Source organism: Homo sapiens, chromosome 5 (genome assembly GCF_000001405.40).
Source record: "Homo sapiens chromosome 5, GRCh38.p14 Primary Assembly".
Lineage (NCBI taxonomy): Eukaryota > Metazoa > Chordata > Mammalia > Primates > Hominidae > Homo > Homo sapiens.
The window spans coordinates 100,573,014-100,596,300 of record NC_000005.10 but is presented as its reverse complement, the minus strand read 5'-3'; the positions used below and the strand labels follow the sequence as shown (position 1 = coordinate 100,596,300).

Below are 23,287 nucleotides of genomic sequence, written 5' to 3'. Positions count from 1 at the left end.
GTGCTGTCTTTTACCAGAGCACAGTCTTTTTTAAAATTGTCTTTTTTTTTTTTTTGTCAGTTTCATAACCTTGTATCACCATTGTTATATTGAGCATTCAGTTGAGAAGATAACTTATTGTGTTACCGAGCAGGTAACTTGTCTCTTTGGTTCAAAATTCTTCTGTTAAAAAGAAACTAGTCTTGAGGAATTGCACCTGAGAAGTTGGACCCTCATTTCCCCTTGAACTTTATTTGAATGATGAATCCTAGACTTCAAACCGTAGTTGATTTTGCATGTGGGAGGAACATGAATACTGGTAGGCAGAGAGTACAGTGGTAGATAGTTTCCAAAAATAGTCACCATTGAGTCCTTTCTCTCTTTGCTCACATATGCTGTTTTTCGCACAATGAGGTGGGATCTAATTTCCTTCCTGCGAGTTTGAGCTCACCTTAGTGATTTGCTTGACCAATAGAATGTGGCAGAAGCAATATTCTCAAACATGTAAAACCAGATTATAAGAAGACTTGCCACTTTCACTTTAAATGCTTACTGTTGGGAAGCTTTCTCTTAGAACCCAGCTGCCACGCTATGAGAAGCCAAAGCTGTGCGTAGGCATTTCAGCTGAGCTCCCAGCCAACAGCTAATATCAACTCTCAGCCACAAGAGTGAGTCATCTTGGACTTCCAACCCAGCTGAATATTTAGATGATTCCAGTCCCAGACACAATCTGACTGTAATCAGATGAGAGATCCCAAGTGAGGAAAGCCAGTTAAGCTTTGTCAATACACAGAATAAAATATGATGATAAATGTTTTTAGCTACTAAGTTTTGAAGAGTTTTATGTGAAATAATAGGCGCCTGAAACAGCTGTTCAAAGGGCCAACCATATTTCTTTCGTTCTTTTCTTTCCTCCTTCCTTTTGCAAACAAAGGCAGGATGGCTAGAGTTGGAACAGTCATCTTAAGATCATAAAGAAAATACCAACGCGTTTTTAGAGACCTTGAGCCTGGATCCCCTGAGCTATAAAGATGTTAACAATAGCAACCACAAACTCCCTGAAATCAAGATATTAGAAAAACGCATCTCCTATTTGGTTTTTTGGTTACATGTAGCCACATAACCAAACTGATACTCCAGAGATAAAGTGAATACAAAAAATGATATTATACAGTCTTGTACTTTGGTAAACAGAGGCTTCTGGTTCAGCTCACAAGTTTTGTGGATAAAAAGAAAGAACTAGCCATATAATTACAAACACCTCAAAGCATGTAAAGTAAAAATAAAACTAGCTGCTCAATGGAAACCCAAACATTTTGATACTGAAGTAGAATATTTCTCAAAATTCCTTATAAAAGATATATGCTGTGATATAGTGTAAAACTTACTCATTAATGACACATTGAATATAACCTTATCTTTCACAGCTATGTATTTGATAATATCTCTGTTCAGCAGTGGCATAATGACAGATAGTTAAAAGAAATTCTACAAGAGGAAAACGATATAGTCAACTTGTACAGCTGTTGGCAGCCTGAATTAACTCATGGACAAAATTCAGAATAGAGAAATTGGTGACTAGTGATTTCTGCCACCAGTCTTTATAAAAAACTTGTGCTAGTGAGCTTTAGGTAAATGAATATAATAAAATCTTACAGTGAAAACATTACCTATTATTAAAGATGAACTCAAATGCTTAGATGGAGATAGAGTTAAAATTCTCTGGTGGAAATTGGAGAGCCTAATTAGTGTATGTGCCTGGATGGAAGGCCCCAATTCAATCTGGAAATTGGCTCAGATAGTACCCAGTAGAACAGTAAGGACTTTTCTCATAGGACATTTCTGTTTATTTCACCAAAAAAAAAAAAAAAAAAAAAAAAGACATGGCAAACTGAGATGTTAATTGTCTAGCCCATAGAACATAGGTCCAATAATTTTAACTTGAAAAAATTAATTAGGTATTGCTAATTTCCCTATTTGATTGTATGCATATATGAGCAAGGTGTTGCTTAGGGTATGGAAGGTGATGGAGATGCTAAGAGAAGATAGCATGACTTCTGGCTTGGACACTTGAATGAATGTTGGTGCCCTTCATTGAGATTGGTAACACAAAGTAAGGGTAGTTTGTGTAAGAATGATAATGACCATCAGTTTGATGTATCTCTGGGCCATCCATGTGGGGTGGAAGAGATATATAGATAGATATATAGATATATATAGATATATAGATATATAGATATATAGATATATAGATATATATAGATATATAGATATATATAGATATATAGATATATAGATATATATAGATATATAGATATATAGATATATATAGATATATAGATATATATAGATATATATAGATATATAGATATAGATATATAGATATATAGATATACAGATATATATAGATATATAGATATACAGATATATATAGATATATAGATATACAGATATATATAGATATATAGATATATATAGATATATAGATATATATAGATATATAGATATATAGATATATGTAGATATATAGATATATAGATATAGGTAGATATATAGATATATAGATATAGGTAGATATATAGATATATAGATATAGGTAGATATATAGATATATAGATATAGATAGATATATAGATCGATGTATGTGTGTGTATGTGTATATACATACATATGATTTGTATATAGAAGCTTGAAAATATGGGTTTTAAATATCAGATGAAAATCTAAGGAAATCCACATTTCTGATTAACCTGTTGTCCAAAACAGCATTAATGTTCCCCTCAGCTTGACTGAACTTTAGACAGGCTTCTATCTAACTTGTGGCCACTTATCTACTTTTTTGCTTTTTTTGAGTATACACCTTAGACAACATAATTATAAAATTACTATTTGCCCATTTCAGATGTAAATATTTTTTAAATCCTCTTGCCAAATTTAGAACCCCGGCATATTTTCCTCAAGGACCAAAAAGCCATCTTTTTGAAGTCTAAATAAATGTCAAGGAAGATAGCACCGACAGTTTCTATGATAGAGTTTATGACAGTTTATGACAGATGGTAGTTTTGCAACTTGGCTCCTACCTTCCTGAAGCCAAGTTGCAAAACCATTCTCTATCACAAAGATGTGAGAAGTTTAGTTTTCCATCGGGTAAAGCCAATTAGCAAACAAATACAGGTGCCCTAGGATTCTCCCCTGGTATCCTCCAGTATGTTTTGGCCAGGCACCCAGTGCTTAAAAAGCCATTCCTGCCTTTTGTTCCAGAGAAGATGAGTTTAGATTTAGTTCTGGGATCTCACCATTGCAACGGCCTTGAATAAAGTCTTCCTTGCCTGTTCAACTTTGGTGCGATGTTTTATTTGAAACTGCATTAATATCATAACTGAAGTAATGGGTGGTTATGACCAGGGAAAGATGTTAGTGTGAAGATGAGAAGATCTAGGAGAAACATAAGAGGCAAGGAGATGCATAAGTACAAAGAGATACAAACAAAGGGAGAAAGAGAAAAGAAACATACAAATAAAAAAGGAAGATATCAGAGAAGCCACGGAAAGATGCTGATTGTTTTTATAGGTTGTTTCACAGACTGTATTTTGGGAAAGGCTGTCTTAGATGGCATTAAAATTTACCCTTCAGTTAATATAAACTATTAAATAATTTTAAACACACAGGATTATTTTGCTTCTCTGAAATGAATTTTACTGGATTATATTGTAGTGTAAGTACATCTAGTGTAAGACATGCTAGTATATGTTAAAAGGCATTATAAGAAAGATGTGCACGATAGTTTTCTGAGGTTACTATAAATATATTGAGGAAAGTGTTCACTAATTTATACCATGGGATCTCCTTACATTACTCCTTGAGAACCTTGGAAAACAAATTTCCCTCTGGTTTCTGCACTGGCAATAACTGAACAGCTTTTGCCTCTCTCTTGAATGAAATTTATGGCACATTTTTAGCAACTTATATGATAGATTTGAGGCCATGAAATTATGCTGTGACCTTATTTTCCTACTTTTGTTTCTTTGTGCCCTAATATCCTCACCTCCTCAAATTGATTCTTTTTTATTTAACATGCGTTTATAAACAAACTTTTCATTTTTTTGGAAACAAATGGAGATTTTTCTATTAGCAAAAATAAATTTTCTGAACTTATTTAGCAGGCCATTTTACTACATTTTAGCTGTTTTCTTTGGGGCAAATTCTGCAATTTTTCTGAGCTTTAGTATCCTTATTTGCAAAAATAGGGATAATAGTCTCTCCCTCAAAGTTATTGTGAGGATTGAATGAATTAACAAATCTAAAACATTTATCATACTAGTATTCAATTAATCTTAACTATTAATTGTATGTGGAAAACAGTGGACTGTGGAAAAAGAAACAATGAAGATAAATAAGATTCAAAAAATAATGGAGCCAGAAATTAATATAAGGTACGGTCATCTCTGAACTCTGCTTTAGATCACAGTGTGATTATCTACACACTGACAGAAGTTTCCCATTTGGAGTTACAACAGAATCACTCATGGAGCTTTCTAACTGTTATAGATGTTTAGGCCACTTCTCATGGCAATATAATGTGGATTCTCAAGGGTTGGGCCAGTACACATATATTAAAAATATATATTTTCATAGGCTAGGGACCATCACATTTCCTATACAAGTTATCTTGCTCTTCAGCACTCCTATGAAAAGTCCCTTTTGTCCTGCTAACAGTTTTTTGGCTTTCAGGTCCTTAGATATAATTTTATACCAAAGACAGCAGAAAAGAGTTAAAGGAAAATAAACTGTACACAGCTATTCATTGTAGGTGCCCTTGTTAGGAATAATGTTCAGTGCCTTAACAGGCAACTAAATCAGAAGCAATAAGCAGCAGCCTCCTGTGGATGCAAGAAATAAAACTGATGAACCTACCCTTATCCAGAAAAGATGATTTTACCTGTAGAAAGTTAACATAATAAAAGTATGTGATATTTTAAAATAATTCACGTCTTGAAAATGGGATATTAAAGTTCATTAGAAAATACAAGTCAAATAACTGGGATGTTTACTTTTGGAGCTAACCTAGATTTGGTCTAAGAATAAAATAATTATCAGCAGAAATGACGCAGACTTTGTCTTTTCTGAAAGATTATACCTATTGATTTTACCTTAGGATTTAGGATTTGTTAAATCCATAGCTCTAGGTATATTGTACTGCAGATCTGACAAGCCAAGGACAGCTAATCAAAAGTCACATTTGTTGCTTGGAAACAGGTAAATCTGCAGACTTCCTGGACTCCCTGACTACACTGGGACTAGTCTACCTAAACATTAGCTTATTTATCCAACAGAAACTATTGGTCCATGAGAAGTTTCCTAGTACTGGGAAAATAGTGTTAAAAAAATTAGTCAGAGGGTCCAGTTAGAAGGTGGAAAGATACATTTCTTTATGAGGTTGCTGTAAGGGCACAAGCTATCCTATTACAAAACAACAAAAAACAAACAAAACCAAAAACAAACAACTGGAGTAGGGAGTCTCACTGTCTCCCAGGCTGGAGTGCAATGGCACGATCTCAGCTCACTGCAACCTGTCTCCTGGGTTCAAATGATTCTCCTGCCTCAGCCTCCCAAGTAGCTGGGATTGCAGGCACCCGCCACTATGCCTGGCTAATTTTTGTATTTTTAGTAGAGATGGGGTTTCACCATGTTAGTCAGGCTAGTCTTGAACTTTATATTTTAGGGAGGGAGCTTGAACCCTGCATGGATGAATAACAATATATTCGTTAAGAAAAATACATGAAACAAGGGAATAAGAACCAAAGTCTGGAGCTTAAACATGCTCATACTTCCGGCTTTGGAGACAAAGAATCAGAAAAAGTCAGCCCTCAGCGAAAGCTGCATGCTATGTCAAGAACTTTCTTCTGGTAAGGGAGTGAGAAGAATCCGAGGATGAAATGAACTTCCACTCCATTTTAGGCAAATAATAATACGTACAGGCCCAGGTTGACCTAAAAAGAACCCTGGCAGATTAAGAGAAGTAACTATCAGAGTTGTTTTGCTTACTTTGCTTCAAAAAGCCTATTTAAGAAAAAACACCTGAGTAATTTCAACATATTCCTGGTATATCACCAGGCATGGGTACTGGCATGGGTACTGAAGGAACCTGTATAATAAGAATGAAGAGAAGTGCAAATAAAACCACATATACTAGAATCTGATGCAAAAATAGAGCCAGAACACCTGGCTATAGGTCCTATACTGTGGATCTACAATGAGATCTTTTGACGGGAGATGCAGCAGCCATAGTTTCTTACCAGCCAGACATAGAAGTTTTAGAGACAGTTCCTCCCTAAATTTCCTCTCATCTACTTTTACCTCCTGCCATATAACAGGTGACTGACATAGACAGGCAAAATATGTTAAAGACGATGAATTTAAAATATTCAATTTCTAATGTTAAGAAATGGTGAGAATTAATGGAAATAACATCCATCTTAGCAAATCAAGCATAAATTGGTGTTGAGAATACTTTTTGCTTGATTCTTCAAAGGCACAGAATATAAAACTGTTTATTTAAAAAATCCTTGAAAATGATGGGATGGCCAGAGGGGTATTTAGGGAAATAATTAGTCTAACTGCCCATTTTTATGGAATGGATCATTTCACTGTCTTCATCCCTTCATTTATTTCCTTATAAGCTATTTTTCACCTCCCAACTTAAGAGAAAACAATCTTTTCTTTATTGCTTCACTTAATGGAAGTGGTTAGAGAATTAAAAAAAATAGAAAAGTAAATAAGGTAAAAATGATAAAACTATAATGAGTAAATTAAAATGAATATAATTCAAACTAAAGTACCAAAGAAAAACATTAAAAAAAGACATAGAGGATAGGTGATTAAGGGCAATGGGCTGTATCCTTGGTAAAATAATGAAACTCAAACACCAGCTAGAATCTGATGAGGTGCAGGCAGCCCAAGGGTTTGTTTTCATAGCAGTGGGTATCCACCTAATAATTAAGAGAAGGTGGGCAGAAAGAAGTTACTTGATTTTCTAGCTCCACACAGTGGGTTGGACAGAAGCTTCAAGCATAAAAAAACACCTGTAAGTTACTCCAAAACCTATTCTTTCTTCCCACTTATTCTCCTCCTGCGCTATAGACTCAACTGTACCAGCTCTACTGATCTCTAATTCCTAGGTTTGGCTAATACCAATAATACCACTAAAAGGAGGTACCAAATGGGAAAGGAGAATAACAACATGTTTTTATTACATCTAAGGTATCACCAGTTAATTTTAAATGTACATATAGAGTTTTAGGGTTTTAGGTAAAAATCCTAACAATTTCATCAGCATGCTTGTTACGTATCTAATGAAGCTAAAATTCAGCATATCAGCTTTGTAGGTGATTTTGTAGATGTATTATTGAGCACTTTAATAAAAGTGTGGCTTATTATAATAATTATAACTAGATTTGCAGTATATGAATGACTATATGAAAATAATAATGGAAATAATAAAGGAATTTTTAATAAACATGACAAAATTTCCATGTCCAGTTGAAGGATATCCTTTTCGAAGTAGTCATCTAGAGAAATTGTATATTTCTAATTAAGTTGGTGCCAGTGCTGAAAACATTTTGGTAACATCCTCTTTAAAAGCAACTTGGAGACCATTTATGAAAATGATCCTTACTTTAAGTTGCCTTAATTATCAGAATTTTTTTTTTTTTTTTGAGACAGTCTCACTCTATCACCCAGGCTGGAGTGCAGTGGCACAATCTTGGCTTACTGCAACCTCTGTCTCCCAGGTTCAAGCGATTCTCCTGCCTCAGCCTCCCAAGTAGCTGGGACTACAGGCGCACATCACCACTCCCAGCTAATTTTTATATTTTTAGTAAAGACAGGGTTTCACCATGTTGGCCAGGATGGTCTCAATCTCTTGATCTCGTGATCTGCCCACCTCGGCCTCCCAAAGTGCTGGGATTACAGGAGTTAGCAACTGCGCCCAGCCACTTATCAGAATTCTTATTCTTTGATTCTTACTTCTAATGAGTGTTAATGAAAAAGCTAGCTTATAAATGACAGCAGTTATTAAATAAATTATTATTTCCAAGATACTACAGTATATGATTTTTTCCATGTCATAAAATATAAGGTATGGGGCCAAATTTAATCCAAATATGTGTTCTGTGCTAATAACATTTTTTTTTTTTTTGAGACGGAGTCTCGCTCTGTCGCCCAGGCTGGAGTGCAGTGGCGCCATCTCGGCTCACTGCAAGCTCCGCCTCCCGGGTTCACGCCATTCTCCTGCCTCAGCCTCCCGAGTAGCTGGGACTACAGGCGCCCGCTACCACGCCCGGCTAATTTTTTGTATTTTTAGTAGAGACGGGGTTTCACCGTGTTAGCCAGGATGGTCTCGATCTCCTGACCTCGTGATCCGCCCGCCTCGGCCTCCCAAAGTGCTGGGATTACAGGCGTGAGCCACCGCGCCCGGCCGCTAATAACATTTTAAATTAGGGATATTTCATACACAATATCTGTAGGTTTGGCTTCTCTTGGAAAGTAAAAACTAAGAGCTAACAACACAGGCAAGGACTTTCTCATGGTAACTATTAGTGGGATCTGAAGAGAGGCCGATTCCTTTAGAAGAACAAATACCTTCCACTTTAGTCTCTGCTCACACAATATATATATATATATATATATATATATACACTGACATCATGGTGACTTGATTCACTATGGAAAGCCAGTTGGCATATAGGTAAAAATAAGTTTGCATTGTGGATAGCCAAATACTCCAATTTACTTCCTTGCGAAAGAATTATCTATCCTTGCCTTGTAGAACTTGGGTGCAGCCTTATGGTTTGTTTTGGCCAATAAAATGTAGGTGAAATTGAAATTTATCACCTTGAGGCAAAAGCTAATGAACTAGCATGCAGTGCATTATATCTGGATGCTTAGATATGAGACAACATTTGGGGCAGAGGTTTTCACATCATCTTTGGTCCTGGAGAAAAGACTACAAAGAGCAGAATCATAGTTCATAACAAACATGTAGCAGAAGTGAAAAATAAATCCTTGTTGCAACCCACTGTGATTTGGAACCATATGTTAACTCTCTCTGACCTAGCCAATCCTGACTTACATGCACATTTAAATTACGTCCCTGGTCTCAGTAAGCAACTGAGTTCATGACCCATGCTTTTCCTATAAGTTCTCCTCTAACTTCTAGAATGTGAAAAATTGAATCTCAGTGAGGTTAAATAATTTGTTCAGAGATCGTGAAGTCAGTCTCTGAATATAGATCTGACTCCAAAGTCTATGTGTTTAATTCCTCAATCCCCTGTTCCATAACACAATGAAGTATTTGAACTATGCCATTATTGCCATTTCTACATCTTACTATACAGTAAAGATATTAAATGGCTGTAAAATTCACAGATTTCTGAAATATCTAATCAAAGCAGATATGTTACATAGTAGTTGCTAAAATAGAATAACATTTTGATAGATTTTCCGACAAATTACAAATACATATATTAATTTTTAATTCTATAGTCTTATGTTTATTTTATAAACACATAATTTGGACCACTTTAAGAGAATTTAAAATCATATTTATTGTTTTGCAAACAATAACTTAGACATTTCTTAATATTTTAAAAACCCCAACACAAAGTAATAAATTTGGCTTCTTTTCCCCACAAAAATGGGAAATACCTTTCAGTAAAGGAAATTTTAAATTATTTTTACACACCAGTTGGTTGTTGGAATTTATAGCTCTTTAACATATGACATCAGCAAAAATAATTAGCATTAACTGATTAATACATAAAACAATTTACAATCATATGGTAAGCAGGAAACAAAAACCGATCAGAAAACACCGTTTTATAGTAATTTTCAAACAGATAAATTATTACAGTATACTTTATCCCCAACATCTCTGAGCCCATTAACAGAGTACTTCTATACATATAAAGATATAATAAAAGGATACGGTATTTATTGCAACAGCAAATTAAAGGTTGTTAAAATATATGTAACTTAAATACCCCCCCAACATTGATATAGTGGCTTCTTATTCCTTAAACATAGAAATTCCACTCTTCATTGTAGAAAGATAAAGTTCTTTCATCAAAAGGCACATTCTTATCTGCAAGAAAAAGAAAAAAATACCATAAATATCCTTTCTAGAACAATTTTAAAAACATTTAAAACTATTCAGAAAGATTTGGAGGGGAAGGAAGAATATAATAAAAGTACTTAGTCTTAAAAATTATTAAAAAGAACACCAATAACACATGCTTATTTTGTCTAAATTATTTCAGAAATTATCTATTAAACAGAAATTCTAACTATTTAAAGGAATTTTATATTTAACTACTGTGAGTAAAGACTAGGTTATATTCATAATAAAGTTTATCCTCATATAATATTCATAAATGACTTTAGTTGACTTGAGTATACAATACAGTTGACTGTTGAATGACATGGGTTTGAACTGCATAGTACCACTTATGTGCAGATTTTTTTCAATAAATATATTCTAAAGTTTTTTTGAGATCTGAGACAATTTGAAAAATATTACAATGAACTACATAGTTTAGAAATATCAAAAAAGGCCGGGCGTGATGGCTCACAACTGTAATCCCAGCACTTTGGGAGGCCAAGGCAGGCAGATCACTTGAGGTAAGGAGTTTAACACCAGCCTGGCCAACATGGTGAAAGCCCATCTCTACTAAAAATACAAAAATTAGCCAGGTGTGATGGCGCACTCCTGTAATCCCAGCTACTCAGGAGGCTGAGGCAGGAGAATCACTTGAACTCGGGAGGCGGAGGCTGCAGTTAGCAGAGATTGTGCCACCGTATTCCAGCCTGGGCAACAGAGCAGGACTCTGTCTCAAATAAAGAAAATGAAATATTAAAAATTTAAGAAAAAAGTATGCCATGAATGGATAAAATAAATGTAGATGCTGATTTATTTTATCATTTATGATCCTAACATATATACAAATCTACTATGTTAAAATTTATCAAAACTTATGCACATAAGCACAGACTATACATGGTGCTATTTGCAGTCGAGAGATATGTAAGTAAATATAAAGATGTAGTATTAAATCATAACTGTAGAAAATTAACTATAGTACATAGTGTACTACTGTAGTAATTTCACAGTCCCCTCTAGTTATTATTATGGTGAGCTCAAGCGTTGTTGGTATTTATTTAAAATACCACGTGACACTAATCATCTCCACATGGGCAATTCGTATCTCCAGTAAATTGTGTATTGCAGTAAAAGTGATCTCTCATGATTCTCGCATAGTTTCTACTGCATTTAGTGCAATATCATAAACCTTGAATAACATGATGACACCCATACAAAATGCCACTATTGATGATGGAATTGCTTTTGCTGGAAGCAGAAAAAAGTCATGACATTACAAAAAAAAAAAGAAGTTGGATTGCTTGATATGTATTGTAGATGGAGATCTGCAGCAGGGGTTGCCTGCCATTTCCAGAATAATGAATCCAGCCTAAGGACCACTGTAACAAAGGAAAAAAAAATGTGAAACTGTCACTGCAGCTTCATTAGCAAGCACAGCATCTTTGCATTTTTTTTGAAATAACTTTTTTATCTCATATTGAAAATTAAGCTTTTGTGTGGTTGCATGATTGCTGTAAGAAATGCAAACCTACAGACTCTAACATGATTTGAGAAAAAGCAAAATCATTGTATTATAATCTAAAGCAACAGGAAGGTGGAAGATCTAAAGCTGGAAAATTTAATGCCAACAAAAGATGGTTTAATAATTTCAGAAAGAGGTTTGGCTTAAAAAAATTGTCAAGCTAAAAGGAGAAGCAGCTTCTGTTGACCAAGAGGCAACAGACCAGAGTCCCCAGAAACCACTGAGAAAATCATTGAGGAGAAAAGACATCTGCCTAAACAGTTTTTAATACAGATTAAAGTGCCCTGTTCTGGAAAAAAAAGCCACAAATGACACTTATTAATACGGAAGAGAAGTGAGCAGTATGATTTAAGACTGAAAGGATAGGCTAACAGTACTGTTTCATGCAAATGCAGTAGAGTTTCTCATTAGGATTGCCCTTACATACAAAGCTGCTAACCACCAAACCTTGAAGGGAAAAGACAAACACCAGCTGCCAGTCTTTTAGTTGTACAAGAAGAAGGCCTGGACACTGAAAACTCTTTTTCTGGACTGGTTCCACTGATGCTTTGTCCCTGAAGTCCAGAAGTACATTGCTAGTAGGGGACTGACTTTTAAAGTTCTTTTGATTTTGGACAATGGCCTGGGCCACAAAGAACCCCAGGAATTCAACACTGAAGGCATTGAAGTGGTCTACTGGCCTCCAAATACAATGTTTCTAATTCAGCTTTGAGATAAGGGGGCCATAAGGATGCTTAGGCTTATTACACCCAGTACGCTATGGAAAGGTTTATTCAACACTATGGAAGAGATCCCAATAGAGAGAACGTCATGAAAGTCTAGAAGGAATATACCATTGAAGATGCTGCTATTTTATTGAAAAAGACTTGAGAGCCATCAAGTGCAAAACAGTAAGTTCTGCTGGAGGAAACTGTTTCAAGATGTTGCACATGACTTCACAGGATTTACAATAGAGCCAATCAAGGAAATCATGAAAGAAACTGTGGATATTGCAAAAAAAAAAAATCGGTAATAAAAGATGTCAAGATGAGGATCTTGGAGTAATTCAAGAGCTAACTGACATTACAATGGAACAATGAACAGAAAATGACTTGATGGAGATGAGTGCTTCTGAACCAGTGCCACATGATAAGGAAGAAGATGTAGAAGAAGCTGTACCAGAAAACAAATTGGCAGTAGTCAATGTGGCAGAAGAATTCCAATTATTCAAGACTGCTTTCAACTTCTTTTATGACATGGACCTTTCTATGATATGGACACTAAAACTAAAGCAAGCTGTGGAAGAAGAATTGGTACCAATAGAAACAGTTTTAGAGAAATCAAAAGGCAAAAATCTCAGATGTGTTTCTGTAAAGTTACACCAAGTGTGCCTGCCTCCCCTTCCACCTGCTTCAACTCTTCTGCCTCTACCACCCCTGAGACAGCAAGATCGGCCCCTCCTTCCTCCTTCTCTTCAGCCTACTCAACGTGAAGACAAGGATGAAGACCTTTATGAGATCTACTTTCACTTAATGAACAGTAAATATATTTTCTCTTCCTTATGATTTTCTTAGTAACATTTTCTTTTCTTTAGCATGCTTTGTTGTAAGAATAGAGTATATAATACATATAACATACAAAATACATGTTAATTGACTGTTCATGATATTAGTAAGTCTTCCAGTTAACAGCAGGTTATTAGTAGTTAAGTTTTTGGGGAGTCCAAAAATTACACGTGGATTTTTGACTGTGTAGTTGGTGCCCCTAGCCCCCATGTTATTCAAGAGCCAACAACAGTTATTCATTTCTATGGTTCCTATAAATACAGTTATTTGTTCCTATTTCTAACCTTCAGAAATGAGGATTACTAAAGCTACAAGCTACTAGGTATAATCTATAAAACAATCAATGCTTTGGAAATTTATAATACGGTAACAAAAATTATCCATACTAAAGACAAGATTTCCAATAAACACTACAATGGGGCAAGTTTGCCCATTTACTCTCTTATTGCCTAACTAGTTTATTATAATATAAAACTATATTTTGACATACAAATTTTTATAGATTTTAATTCTAATTATACAACTTTACTACTACTTAATTTAAATCCTGCCTTCCAAAAATATTTCTGCTAGTAAGAGCCATCGTAATGAAAAGCATTTGATCAAACCAAATTAAAAAAAAAAACAAAATGTGCATATTTTACAAACTTAATAAATCTTCCTTTATAATCATCAATAACATTTAGAACTTCATTGGAAAAACATCTGAAAATGAATAATGCTCTTTTTCATCTTATCTGAATCTTTAGTCAGCAGTCTGTAATAGTTCTCTAAATGATTAGTATAAGATAATGAGGTTCTAATATATTTTTACTTTGAAAGTAAATTTAATCCTTTAAAAAATATACTGAAGGTTATTAAAAAAAAACATGTAACACTTAGAATTCTTTTGTACAGCCCTTGTCCTTTTAACGCTTGAAACCCATGATAATACTGATAATGAATTTGTAGACTATGAAAAAAAGTCAATCTGTAAAATCAAAATTGCAGTTTCATAAACTAGGAGAACACAAAATTACTAGAACCTAATCCAAATTCTATCACTAAATAGCCTTTTGAACTTGACTATATATGAGACCCTGAGGAATATCTAAAAGATTTTTTTCAAATAGAAAATTACCTACCACATAAAGAGTCTCTTAAGATATGGTTTCAGAAAGGCGTTTTGAGACTCGTAATTAACCTCAAAACATATGCAAATTAGCATAACTATTATGATCTAGCAATCATATTACATTGTGCCCAACATTTCCTTGAACCTGTTTATATTTATAAGACTGTATGACCAGCTCTCTCATTTAGAGTATTTCATTCCTTGAGTGGGAATTTCCTCAGAATTCTATTCTGGATGTTTTCATGCTGTTCAGGGGCTACTGTAGGAACCACCACTCCCCACTCCCTCCCTGGCATGACTCAACCACGACCAAATGTAATATTGAAGAAGGCATTCTTATTTATATGCCCAATTGGAATTATTTTTAACTTATCAAGAATTAAGCCAATTCTCTTCCAGCCTTAAGCATGGTCTTCCAGCCTTAAGCGAGGTCTTGAATTCCAGACCTCAAGTGATCCGCCCACCTTGGCCTCCCAAAGTGTTGGGATCACAGGCATGAGCCACCATGCTGGGCCTTCATAGGCTCTTATTTGATTAACTTATATCTTTAAAAAAATAACTTTAACTCAATTGCCACCTACTCAGTGAAATCCATGTTGCTATCCCTCAGTTGCTCTTTCTCAGGAATTCCACAGCAGTCTGAAAAAAGTGGAGAATCAATATGGTATGAGAAAAGTAGCTAAGGATTCCTACTCTCTGGAGAGGTGATATAGAAGTTGTAGAAGGTAGACTGGTTGACTCAAAAAAAATGCCGCAGGCCTTGTGCAGTGGCTCACGCCTGTAATCCCTGCACTTTGGGAGGCCCGGGTGAGTGAATCACCTGCAGTCAGGAGTTCGAGACCAGCCTGGCCAACATGGTGAAACCCCGCCTCTACTAAAAATACAGAAAATTAGCCTGGCATGGTGGCAGGCACCTGTAATCCCAGCTACTTGGGAGGCTGAAGCAGAAGAATCGCTTGAACCCGGGAGGCAGAGGTTGCAGTGAGCTGAGATCACGCCATTGTAGTCCAGCCTGGGCAACGAGAGCCAAAATCTATCTCAAAACAAACAAACAAACAACAAAAACAAACAAACAAACAAACTCTGCAACAGAACCAGGAGTACACGGTATAATCTTAGTGGGTCTGTTAACAGGACGCTCTTTTGGCAAGAATGGCAGGGATAGAGGCTGTGCTCCAAAACCAAGCAGGACAAGCTATCCCTCAGCTGTGGCCAGCAAAGATAGAAGACTGCAAGTGTGATGGTTAATACTGAGTGTCAACTTGATTGGACTGAAGGATACAAAGTATTGATCCTGGGTATGTCTGTAAGGGTGCTACCAAAGGAGATTAACATTTGAGTCAGTGGACTCAGAGCGGCAGATCCACTCTTAATCTGGGGTGGCACAATCTAATCAGCGCCAGCATGGCTAGAATATACGCGGCAGAAAAATGTGAGAGACTGGCCTAGCCTCCCAGCCTACATCTTTCTCCTGTGCTGGATGCTTCCTGTCGTCGAATATCGGACTCCAAGTTCTTCAGTTTTGGAACTCGGACCTGCTTTCCTTGCTCCTCAGCCTGCACATGGCTTATTGTGGGACCTTGTGATCGTGTGAGTTAATACTTAGTAAATTCCCATACATATATATTCCATTAGTTTTGTCCCTCTAGAGAACCCTAATACAGCAAGTATGACCTTTCCTATGAACGGTACTATATTTCAGAGTTTATAAGACACACATTTTTCACATTTTAACATCTCTGAACTTCAGATGCATCTTTCAATTGATGGCATCTTACAGTAGCTGTCAGACAGGGGCAATTCTTACATAGTTGCCATTGGCTGTATTTGTGGATCAAAGCTCTTTGCATTGTTGTCACTTTGAGTGAATTATATGCATTTTTGGTGTTATAAGGATGAATTTAATGAGGTTTAAAATACCTTCAAAAAGTTTATTTCATGAATCACCACTGAAGCGAATTTTTTTGTGTGTAGAAATACATAAAAGAGAATAGTAAACTATAATTAATATCAGTGAAGCAAATATTTAGCACTAAATGATGACATGAATCCCATACATGCTTGCCAAAAACAAATATCTCTTAAGATGGAAAGATACCCTGGATAAATGAAAACTCTGCTAGTTTCTGTTTTGAGAAACTATTATACACCAAGCAATACAACTGCAAACATAAATTGCCAAATTCTTCAGAAAGAAAGCACAGTGAAAAAGTACTAAGAGGCTAGTGTGCACAATTCTTGTATAATTTAAAAATATCATGGCCAGGCACAGTGGCTCACGCCTGTAATCCCAGCACTTTGGGTGACTGAGGTGGGTAGATTACCTGAGGTCAGGAATTCAGGACCAGCCTGATCAACATTGTGAAACCCCATCTCTACTAAAAAATACAAAAATTAGCTGGGTGTGGCGGCGGGCATCTGTAATCCCAGCTACATGAGAGGCTGAGACAGGAGAATTGCTTGAACCTGGAAGCGGGAGGCTGCAGCGAGACGAGATCGTGCCATCGCACTCCAGCCTGGGTGACAAGACCGAAACTCCATCTTAATTAAAAAAAAAAAATCGCTACATAATTTCACAATTTAACTGACAGCTATTTCTTTTCTTTCTTAATGATCTGCTTAAAATTAATGGTGTCTTAGATTAACTGAATAATGAAGTGTGTCTCCACAGAACTTGGATCAATTTGAAGTGAAGAGAGAGGAGAAAAAAGGGGTAGAATCTTTATCAGGATGATATTTACATCCTGAATTGACAAAATTTAAGCTGAAAACAACTGAACTAACTGGAATTTTCAGTTTTCCACCATTATAATATAAAATAAAGAAAAACTAAGAATGTTATATTCTTGCTCAATCACATTATATGGCAGTGACATGGATTACCAGTACACATAAATCTATTTCAAATATATAGTTTCACATGAAAACAAACATAAGTAACCACAACATTTAATGCCTTGATGGCTTTCAACATATTTGAAATAGGTATGCAATACATGGGCTACGCATGCTGCTAAGCTTCATAAATACAAATATTGAAATAGGTATGCAGCACATTGGGCTATGCATGCTGCTAAGCTTAATAGGTACAAATATTGAAATAGGTATGCAACACATTGGGCTATGCATGCTGCTAAGCTTAACAGGTACAAATATTGAAATAGGTATGCAACACATTGGGCTATGCATGCTGCTAAGCTTAATAGGTAAAAATATTTTTAAAATTACATTCATTCTTTTAATCACCAAACATGTGTTGAGTTTTTATTAACTGTGAGGAATATCGCTTGGTACTGAATGGGATGATGGTGATCAAAAAAATAGAGAAAAAATATTAAAAAAAGAAAAACAATATCCTTCTTTATTAGTGCAAAACTACAAATAAAGCTTGGAAATATTTCAGAAGGACAAAAAACCTTGGCCTAGAAGGGAAGCCTGAATTCTAGTGTCATCCTGATCAATTATTTGCTGGATGTTCTTAAGTTTTTTGGATTTTTGTTGTTGTTTTGGATAAAATAAATAGCTTTCAATTAAGACTAAGGATTGTCTTTTTAGGGTAGTCTACAAGATTAAAACAGGCAATTACAGAGACCAAAAACTGAGAAAGATTTTAGAAGTGCAGTCCAACTATATTATTTGGCAGGCAAATTGGTAATGAGGAGGAATCAAGATTCAAGAGATTGGTCTAAGGGCATTCAGTCAATAACAGAAGCTCAAGAAGCACTTCAGTCTATATGATTATGTCCTGTTGCTCCTTATTTTATTATAATACTTCTCAGTTCTGGAGGGTTTAGTCATTGAAATCTGAAGATTAGATCCTATGTAAAATGCTCAGTTTTCTATCATTTACAGAATTTCCACGGTACTAAAAATAAAAATGCTACTCTGGTTATAGCAATGGATTCCTATTTCTTCTACAAACAAACAGACTATAAAATAATAAACAACCAAGACATTCTATTAGTATGCGCTATGCTGTATCCTACACACTTATTGTCCTGGATACCTCTTCTTTCTCTATGAAACTGCTATTCATAAATAATAATGCCTTAGAATCCATGCCTTCATTCAGTGACTCCAATCCCAAATATTTCTTTTTCATCAATAGCCAAATTTAATCTTCAGAAAAATTTTGGAAAAAATTATATAAAAGTTCCTTTTTGCTACCTGTTTAATGACAAACACAGCAAAGTTCCCTTTAAGAGAAAAAATTAAGTAGGAACTATCCTACTACCAACATACCAGTGAACAAACTAAATAGAAATTTCTAAAGTAAATATTAGTACTTTAATACAATCTTATATTCTATTTACTTTGACTAAGGTTAGTGTTTATTCTGATACTATGTTATACCCAACAATTAAGACAGTGTTTTAGAAATTAGAACTACAGTATTTTCAAATTGATAACTGTTTGAATAAGATATTCTTAACGAGGATTTCTCACTAAATACTTATATTGAATCTGCAATCTGATTCTGATATACTGATGTTAATAACCAGGAAATATTTTATGGCCAAGTATCGCATTGAGCACAAAATGTAATCAACACATATAACACAATAGTATATTTAATGAAGCATAACAGCAGTAGCCAAAAAGCAAATTTAGGGCTTTTTAAGTTACATATTTGGCAGAAATTACTAAAGTAGCCTGAAATGACAGCAATATTAGCTTTTAGAATCTGTTACCAAGATTGTCAAAATGTCCTCTAGTTTATATCATTATAAAATTATTATTTAAATGATTTTAAAATAATTTTAAAACTTAATTATTTTTATTATGGATACATAATAGTTTTACATATTTATAAGGTACTTGTGATATCTTGATACAAGCATACAATGTGTAATAATCAAATCAGGGTAATTTAAAAATAATTTTACTAAATCAAACAAAATAGCAAGAAGGTATTGTTTCCATTTGTTGATTCATGCTGTAAAGCATTCTTTTAAACTTGTGTTTCTTGAGACTGCTTATGAGAATTTGTCTCCATTTTGCTTCGAGAAAAGCGAGAGTAATTTTTAGTCAGCATATGCGGCCTCTGACTCCTCATCAGTTTTTCTTTCTGGAAAAGCTGAAAATTCTACCAACAGTCCAAGAACTGAGATTTGTTTTTCAGTTTTATAATTCCTTTGTGCAAAATGATTTAGCAACTAAACAAAAAAATTGCCTCTAACTAACAAAATTAGGATAACAATAGCAAATTCAAGAAAAGTTATATTAAGCAGCACAAACTATTTTTTTTCCCAGAAACCTACAATTTTTCCCCATTTGACTGTATTGAACTTCAATGGTTAACATACAAGACACAGTTGGTGGAACGGTGGTTAGCTACTCAATATCCATTCCACCTCAACTGGTAAGTCTGAACTAATCATGGTACTTCCATTTTCCTCCCCATGTCTTAGTTTATGAATGATCTCATAATCTAATCCTGGACAATGATGTGAAAAAAATAAAAATAAGAAACAACTGTGTTGGAGGACTTTAGGGAAACCTTTCTCATTCTTAAGAAAGAGACATAAAAGAGTGTGGCCCTAACTTCCAGTTAAAGTTACCATCTGGTTGCAATTATAGGAACTGCTAGTATGATCCTCTTATCAACCTAAGAATAAAAACAACACAGGACAATGAGCGGAACCAAGGGAATCACAGAGGAGAGGAGCAAGACCCTTGAGGTACTGTGCCTGGTGAGGCCCCTATCTGTGACATTCTGTTACATGAAAAAAAACACTTCCTTTAGGAAATTTATATTAAACCATATATTGGTATTTTCATATGGCTCAATTTAATATAAAGAAACAGAAAAAATAATTACTCTACATCTTAATGACCAATAACAATCATTGTTAATAGTTTGATGTATTTAAGGCCACATTAAAAAACACCACTCTCAGAAAGAGCTGACTACAAAAAGCTAGTTTCATAAAATTGTAAGCAAGGAAATTCATTTGCCTCTCTGGAAATGACTTGCTTCCTGTTATTCTGTGGATAGAATTTGGAAAATGAAGAGGGACTAATTTTAAAAACAGTTAAACAAGAAGACAGCACCAGTAAGGGATGATCTCACAAGAATTATTATAAGTTATACTGTAGACTGTTCATATCCTTTGCCCACTTTTTGATGGGGTTGTTTGGTTTTTTCTTGTAAATTTGTTTGAGTTCTTTGTAGATTCTAGATATTAGCCTTTTGTCAGATGAGTAGATTGCAAAAATTTTCTCCCATTCTGTAGGTTCCCTGTTCACTCTGATGGTAGTTTCTTTTGCTGTGCAGAAGCTCTTTAATTTAATTAGATACCATTTGTCAATTTTGGCTTTTGTTGCCATTGCTTTTGGTGTTTTCGACATGAAGTCCTTGCCCATGCCTATGTCCTGAATGGTATTGCCTAGGTTTTCTTCTAGGGTTTTTATGGTTTTAGGGACATGGATGAAGCTGGAAACCATCATTCTCAGCAAACTATAGCAAGGACAAAAAACCAAACACCGCATGTTCTCACTCATAGGTGGGAATTGAACAATGAGAACACTTGGACACAGGAAGAGGAACATCACACACTGGGGCCTGTTATGCGGTGGGGGGAGAGACGAGGGATAGCATTAGGAGATATACCTAATGTAAATGATGAGTTAATGGGTGCAGCACACCAACACGGCATATGTATACATATGTAACAAACCTGCACATTGTGCACATGTACCCTAGAACTCAAAGTATAATAAAATATATATATATATAAAAGTTATACTGTAGACTAATTATATTCTGTACTGCAATTGAAAAGGCAGACAAATCATTCTACTTATATGCTTTATTTTGGGAGTCTGTATTTGAAAAATTAACAGTAATACAAGTGGTAGTATAGAAGACAGAAGGAACAGAATTTAGAATTATCCTCTTTAGGTATAAATCAAATAAATATTAAACAAAAGGAATGAGATTAATTGCAGGATATTGCAGACAAAGTCATTTGAACTAAGCCTCAGTTTTCTTATCTTTCAAATGAGAACAATAGGAACTACTCTGCAAGAAATGTTTTTAGTGATTTCATAGTGAATTTGGATCCTAACATAGTCTCTAATACGTCCTGCAGTAAGGGTGTGTTTTATTAACAAGCAGCTGTCACAATCACTCCTACTGTAGTTCTGTTACTTCACTCTGTCCAGGCCAGAAATAAAAATTCCCTTTTATGAAAAACTGCACCATTTACTTAGATATTCTTTTCTGCTCTGGCTTTTAGTTATTTGAATATTATCCCCGCCCCCTCCTCCCTGGTAGAATATAGGTTCTTTGCTAATTTTTATTCAATAAGAGTCAAATTTGGGTGAAGAATTATAACAAGAGAGAAGTAAATAGGAATAGAAGTAAAGCCAAAAGCTTTATTGCTAAACAAGTTAAGATAGCTGAAATAGGACTTAGTAACTTCAAATAAAATATTTACTCCAAGAATGAAAGCTGGACCAAGTCATCAGTTTAAAAATAACATTTTAAGTTTGAGGCCCGGTGCAGTGGCTCACATCTGTAATCCCAGCACTTTGGAAGGTCGAGGCGGGTGGATCACCTGAGCCCAGGAGTTTGAGACCAGCCTGGCCAACAAGGTAAAACCCTGTCTCTACTAAAAATACAAAAATCAGCCAGGCTTGGTGGGCACATCTGTAATCCCAGCTACTGGGAAGGCTGAGGCATGAGAATCACTTGAACCTGGGAGAAAGAGGTTGCAGTGAGCCGAGATAGTGCCACTGCACTCCAGCTTGGGTGACAGAGCAAGATTCCATCTCAAAAAAATAAAAAAAATAAAAATAAATTATAAGTTTGGAAATCTGCGGAACTGTATGCTTCTTTGTCCTTTAGAATCCAATTCAGTGGTACATTGTGCTCACATATACAGTTCATTAATCAAATAAAAATAATGATTGGTTTATACATGACTGTCTTAACCATGTAGTTAGGATGTTTTCAGAGAGTTTAAAACAGGTTCAAGTGCTGTTTTATTAGGAAATGTCACATTCTATTAAGAAAAAAAAACCCTCAGGTTTGTCAAAGATCAGATAGTTGTAGATATGCGGTGTTATTTCTGAGGGCTCTGTTCTGTTCCATTGATCTATATCTCTGTTTTGGTACCAGTACCATGCTGTTTTGGTTACTGTAGCCTTGTAGTATAGTTTGAAGTCAGGTAGTGTGATGCCTCCAGCTTTGTTCTTTTGGCTTAGGATTGACTTGGCGATGTGGGCTCTTTTTTGGTTCCATATGAACTTTAAAGTAGTTTTTTCCAGTTCTGTGAAGAAAGTCATTGATAGCTTGATGGGGATGGCATTGAATCTGTAAATTACCTTGGGCAGTATGGCCATTTTCACGATATTGATTCTTCCTACCCTTGAGCATGGAATGTTCTTCCATTTGTTTGTATCCTCTTTTATTTCCTTGAGCAGTGGTTTGTAGTTCTCCTTGAAGAGGTCCTTCACATCCCTTGTAAGTTGTATTCCTAGGTATTTTATTCTCTAAAACTGGCTAGCCATATGTAGAAAGCTGAAACTGGATCCCTTCCTTACACCTTATACAAAAATCAATTCAAGATGGATTAAAGACTTAAACGTTAGACCTAAAACCATAAAAACCCTAGAAGAAAACCTGGGCATTACCATTCAGGACATAGGCATGGGCAAGGACTTCATGTCTAAAACACCAAAAGCAATGGCAACAAAAGACAAAATTGACAAATGGGATCTAATTAAACTAAAGAGCTTCTGCACAGCAAAAGAAACTACCATCAGAGTGAACAGGCAACCTACAAAATGGGAGAAAATTTTCGCAACCTACTCAACTGACAAAGGGCTAATATCCAGAATCTACAATGAACTCAAACAAATTTACAAGAAAAAAACAAATAACCCCATCAAAAAGTGGGCAAAGGACATGAACAGACACTTCTCAAAAGAAGACATTTATGCAGCCAAAAAACACATGAAAAAAT

The 23,287-nt window shown here is 35.2% G+C and overlaps 1 protein-coding gene across 2 annotated transcripts in view, besides 1 other annotated feature; it reads right to left on the bottom strand.

Moving 5' to 3' along the window:
- Nucleotides 1–9,559: 9,559 nt before the first annotated feature.
- FAM174A (family with sequence similarity 174 member A) overlaps nt 9,560–23,287 on the bottom strand; it is a 51,368-nt gene continuing 37,640 nt past the window's right edge. The window contains exons 3-4 of one of the 2 annotated variants that reach the window (XM_006714600.2): nt 14,897–14,954; nt 9,560–10,120 (exon numbers count right to left, since the gene is read on the bottom strand). In XM_006714600.2, the coding sequence (XP_006714663.1) occupies nt 14,936–14,954 (19 nt within the window). In that variant the 3' untranslated portion in view covers nt 9,560–10,120; nt 14,897–14,935. The remainder of the gene's footprint in view (nt 10,121–14,896; nt 14,955–23,287) is intronic. The other variant, NM_198507.3, reaches the window with a different exon arrangement.
- Nucleotides 11,798–11,847: an enhancer, noted in NCBI's record as "active region_22843". NCBI's record gives its function as "activates an Ori minimal core promoter by ATAC-STARR-seq in GM12878 lymphoblastoid cells {active_cell/tissue: GM12878}" and the evidence as "EXISTENCE:reporter gene assay evidence [ECO:0000049][PMID:35858748]".